Here is a 6,000-nt window from a genome sequence, read left to right on the forward strand (position 1 = left end):
TTAGCCAGGCATGACGGCGGACACCTGTAGTCCCAGCTACTCAGGAGACTGAGATGGGAGGATGGTTCAAGCCCTGGAGGTGGAGGATGCAGTGAGCCGTGATCACACCACTGTACTCCAGCCTGGGTAACAGAGCCAGGCCTTGTCTCAAAACAATAAAAAATAAAAATTTACCTGGAAGTCAGGAAGGGCTGAGCCACCCATCAGCTTTGGTATTGTCCTCCCTCACTTTCTGGGACTCGCTCCTTCCCAACAGGTGAGCACCTTTGAGCCTCTAAATTGCCTGTAAACCCACACATACCTTTTTCTGGGGACACAGAAAACAGTAAGAACCAGACCCCCAGTCAAGCAGGCTGTGACTCCCCTCAGCCCCACACTCCTACATCACACGATACCAGCTCAAACCTTCCTGCCCCTTTTCCTTCTCTCAGTTCAGGGGTTCATTAGCCCAGCTCATCTCACAGGTGGGGTTTGAGCCCAGCGAGACCTCATCCCAGCCTCACCATACTCTGTGACCTTAAGCAGGTCACCTCCATTTCCTCATCTGTAAAACAAGGATGGGCACACCTACTCCATGGGGTTGATGGGAGGCTCAGACATGATAGTAGATGTGAAAGTGATTTGTAAACTGCAAACAGTCAGACTGTTATCATGATCATCATAATCATTATTATTAAGTGATAAGCACACACCCATCTAACTGTATTCATCTCTCTTAAAATACCCAAAGGATCTCCACTGGAGAAGCACTTGTGTTTCTAAAGATGCAGTCATGGAAGAGTGAGCTTCCTCCTCCTCTCCCCAGGCTGCATCCCTGCTCATAGAGTATGGGTGTCCCCTGCCCACTTTAGAAACGAGTTGGGACTGAGGACCTGGACAAGCTGCTAATCTGAGCTGTGAGCCCACCAGTCCTGGCCCAGTTCAGGGTAGGGAGACACGTCTTTCACTTCCTGCGCTCACGTGGAGGCCATGCTCTTTTTCCAAGGATGCCAGGTGCCCACTGCCCTTTAACATACAGGCTTTGCCTCCTCTGAACTGTGCTCGCTGTGTGTGGAAGCTTCACTGGTCAGACCCTGGAGGGAGGAAGGAGTGCAGGGGCCTTGAATCCCTGGCACCCTTGCTGAGCCTACTATATCTCCAGGTAGTAGGATGTCAAATGCTGAGTTCTTTATTTGTTCAATAAACACTTTCTGAGCAGTTGTTATAAAGCACTCCCCATGACAGTCATCAAGAATCAGGAGATCAGAGGAGGAGGATAAGAAAAATCTGGACTAATTGTCTCTTTTCCCTCTCACATAAATTCTTCTCTGTCCGTGTCATACTGGGTTTCTGTCTCTCCCTGGCACACACATTTGCTCTCTTGAGAGGCCCTCTGGCTGAGGCCGAGGCATGCCTTCTGGACAGGCTGGAGCAAGTGGGAACCCAGTTGGAAGAATAGGTCCACTGTGCCTCTGGCAGGCACCCCAACCCTGTCACACCCCCAGTCCACTCCCCCTACCCAGCTTTCTTCCAAACAGAGCTCCCCAGGCCTCCTCTGACCCTCAGGCCCTCCCTGGACCTGCTTGCCCCTGCCTGGCTCTGCTTCACTTCCATTTCTAAGATTTAGAAGCAAAGACGGAAAGAGAAGCTTGGCGGGCCCAGCTGGGCTGCGGGAGGAGAGGGGAAGGGGCCCCAGGCTGGAGCAGAAGTTGCTGGTGCGCCGAGCTGCCTTGCGGTTTAGGCCCAGAGGTTCACGCGAGCGAGCGCGCTGTGGTGAGCGCGATAACCGGCGAGCCGCGAGGCGATTCGGAGAATTTCTGAAGGCTCTGTAATAAAAGGTGACAGCACAAAGCCCATGATAACAAGGCCGAGGCACCGTGCCAAGAAGTCGGCAGCAGTGACAAGGAGGGCTTGGCGGAGGTGGGGAGCCAGCCGCTTCCCCTCTGGCAAGGGAGCACACACAGAGGATGCCTCCCCAGCCTTTGAGCAGAGACAATGAACCCACTTGGAAGAACTCACTTGTGCGTGGCTGGGGTGAGAGTGTGACAGGAATAGAGATGAGCCCCTGCCACGCCTTCCCTGGGGTTCCACATGTGCCTGCCACCTGCAGTGACAGTCAGCTCCAGACCGTCCCAGCAGTTGTCCCCTCACCTCCTCCTCACTATCTCAGGATGGACATGACCCCAGCCTCCAGGGTAGCAGGCCAGGGTGGACAGCACAAGGATGATGCCCGGGAGGGAGAGCCTGACAGGGGCCCAGGTGGGTGGTTTCAGGCACACTCAGGGAGGCCGGGAGCCACAGATAACCCAGGGCTAGGGGATGACAGCTTCACTCCTTAGCATGCACCCAAGTCCTGCCCACCCTGGTGCCAGCCTGCCCTTTCAGCACCCTCTCCCCACGCTAGCTCTGATGCCACAGTGTTTTTGTACCTGCTGCTTCCTCTGCCATAATGCTCTTCCCTTTCCTTCTTGCCTGCCTGTCCTTCAGGACCCTGCTCAAATGTTTCTCTTCTGTAAAGTTTCCCTTGACTCCCAAGGGCAGAACACAACCCCAGCAGCCATCTACTTTACACACCCCTCCATCAAAACCATCTGTTTTCCTGTCTGACTCCCTTCCAAGTGCTGAGAAAAAGGGTTATGTCTTTGTTTACCTCTTGTTCCCAAAGTCTAGCTCAGAGTCTGGAATGTAGCAGGCACTCAATGAAATGATGATGGAGGGAGGGAGGGAGGCAGGGGGGCAGGGAGGGATGGAGGAAGAGAAGGATGGAGGGAGGGAGGAATTGAGGGATGAATGGATGAAGGGTGGATGGAGGGGTGGATGGATGGAGAGATGGAGGGAGGGAGAGATGGAGGGATGGAGGGAGGGAGAGATGGAGGGGTGGAGGGAGGGAGAGATGGAGGGATGGAGGGAGGGAGAGATGGAGAGATGGATGGAGGGCTGCGTGGATGGATAGAAGGAAGGAGGGAGGGAAGGACTGATGAATGGATGGAGGGATGGATGGAGGAGTGAGTGGATGTATAGAGGGATGGAGAGAGGGAGGGATGTATAGAGGGATGGAGAGAGGGAGGGATGGATGGAGGGATGGAAGGAGGGATGGGTGGATGGATAGAGGGGTGGAAGGAGGGAGGGATGGATGAATAGATGGAAGGATATAGGGATGGATGGATGGAGAGATGGAGGGATGGGTGGATAGAGGGACAGAGGGATGGGTGGATGGAGGGAAGGAGGGAAGGAGGGAGGGAGGAATGGATGAATGGATGGAGGGATGTAAGTATGAGTGGATGGATAGAGGGATGAAGAGAGGGAGAGGTGGATGGAGGAGTGGATGAATGAATGGATGCATAGGGAGATGGAAGGATGGGTGGTTAGAGGGATGGAGGGAGGGATGGGTGGATGGGTGGATGGATGGGGAGATGGAAGGATGGGTGGATACAGGGATGGAGGGAGGGATGGGTGGATGGAGGGATAGAGGGATGGTTGGGTGGAGGGATGGAGGGATGGAGGGATGGAAGGATGGAGGGAGGCAAAGGCAGAGGGATAGAGGGATGAATGGAGAGAGGGATGGAGGGATGGGTGGATAGAGGGATGGAGGGATGGGTGGATAGGGGGATGGAGGGATGGGTGGATGGAGGGATGAGTGGATGGATAGAGGGATGGAGAAAAGGAGGGATGGATGGAGAGATGAAAGGATGGGTAGATGGATGGAGGGAGTGATGGGTGGATGGAGTGATGGGTGGATGGAGGAATGGGTGGATGGGTGGACAGAGGGATGAGGGATGAGTGAATAGTGCGAAGAAAGGATGAGTGGATAGAAGGATGGAGGGAGAGATGGGTGGATGGCTAGAGGGGCGGAACGAGGGAGGGATGGATGAATGGATGGAGAGATAAAGGGATGGGTGGATAAAGGGATGGAAGGGTAAGTGGACAGAGGGATGGAGGGATGGAGAGAGGGATGGGTGGATGGATGGGGGTGGAGGGATGGATGGATGGAGAGATTGAGGGATGGATGAATAGAGGGATGGAGGGATGGGTGGATGGAGGGATGAAGGGATGGAGGGAGGGATGGACAGATAGGAAGGATGAAGGAAAGATACAAGCAGGTAAACGTCTTCATAAGCCCACCAAACCCCCCACCTCCCCCTCAGGCATAGTCTGAGGACCTGTACTATCTCCAATGCTGGAGGCCTGAGTCCCCCCATCTGCCATAAAACCTCTGCTTTGTCTCTGACATCAGAGGCCCTGGCCAAGGTCCTCTCCTTGCCACCCTTGTAATCTCATGCCTTGGATCTCTCGTTAGTACTTTATCCCTGTGAAGTGGATTGGACCCCATACCTAGAGGGGGTCATGGGAGCCCAACTTTCTCCTCAGAAATACACCAGAAGGTTACAGACCCTTCCCCTTGGCAAACCCTGCCTGCTCTACCCAGAGATGGAAGGTGGGACGATTGGCCCCAGGTCAGCTCCAGCAACAACTCCCCACGCAGGCCTCAGTCAGTGCTCCCTGGGAATCCTCCAGGCCCTCCATCTCCCCACTAAAAGCCCTTCCTGCCCAGGACTGGGGTCACATCAGTGCCCAAACCCAGGAAGATCCTTCACCTCAGAAGTGCAGGCATCAGCCAACCAGAGCAATGCCAGCCATGAGCCAGAGTAGATAGGCAGGGGCCAGGAGGTGCGCAAGGCTGACAGGAATAGGTATAAGCTAGAACTAGCCAGCTTGGCTCTGTCTGGTTCTGAGCACTGGAGGAAGGAAGGGATTCACACCTAGGAAGCTGGAGTGGCCAAGGGTGTCTGGAAGCCTGGGCATCTTCTCTGCTGGATCCATTGCTGAACATACAGACAGAGCCAGCCCCCACTCCATGGCTCCTCAAGGGACACAGCCCAATATGGACACAAGAGACACTCAAAAACAAAACCAAGACTTCCTGTCCCCAGCTCCCTGCCTCAAGGGACCTCAAAGCACCAGGGAGCTCTGGTGGCTGTCCCCAGAATTCTGTCCACAGCTGTGTTCTTTCCCTGGCCTCCCTCAGAGAACTATTTGTGTCCCTGGCTTGTGGGCAGTCAGACTGCCTCAGGTGTCCTCCCTTCTGGAAGCTTCCATCTCCTCCACCATGCACACTCCTTCCTCCAGGGAGCATCAAAGCCACGCTGCAAAGACACAGCCAGGCCTCTGCCCGACGGCCCACCCAAGCTGACAGAAACAGGCCTTCCTGCTCTTCTCATTCTAGAAAATGGAGTGAAATGCTCCTCAGAGAAGCAAATGACAGGGGAGGCCCCCTACAAAGACAGGTCAGCCATGGGACTGCAGACAGAGCTGGCTTGGGTCCCCACTGAGTGATGTCTGGCAAATGAACTCCTCTGAGCCCCTAGTCCCTGTCCTGTAAATAGAGGTAATACCAGAATGCCTGCTATATGGCGCCAGTGGTAAGCAGTAAGTGAGGTAGTTTCAATCCTGAGCTTAAAGGGTGCACTGCACAGTAGGGCTCAACAGGCCACAGTTCTCTTCGTGTGTGTGGGTGGATTCAGGGTCTCCCTCATGGACAGCTCAGGCTCTGGGGTCAGACATCCAGGTTTGAATCCAGCCCCGCCGCTGACCAGCTGTGTGTGCCTTCAGCAACTAACTCAGCCTGCCTGGCCCTCCACCTCCTCTTGGTGATGAGACCCAGTGACAGTCCCACATCCGAGGGCCATTAGGAGGGGCCAGCATAGCATTTAACACAGCAACCGGCATGGAGTAAGCGCTCAGCGGTTCTTTTGTTATTTTTATTCCACGCCAATCACAAGCACCAGGGTCTCTTCTTTTGTTCTGGAGCGCCAAGTGCCTTGGCCCCCAGGCCCCTGAAAGAGCCAGGTGGAGGGGCCGCCCGCGCTGGAACCCTCAGAGGCTGTTTCACCAACCACACCTCCTGACCAAATCAACATCACCTGTGGGACACTTGGCACCACTGTGTCACCCATAGGGAACCAGCTCTTAAGGTCAGGTCAGGAAACTGTGCTTGCGAGTGAGTTCCCAGAACAGGAGAAC

The sequence above is a fragment of the Homo sapiens genome, chromosome 15 (assembly GCF_000001405.40).
Source record: "Homo sapiens chromosome 15, GRCh38.p14 Primary Assembly".
Classification (NCBI taxonomy): Eukaryota; Metazoa; Chordata; class Mammalia; order Primates; family Hominidae; genus Homo; species Homo sapiens.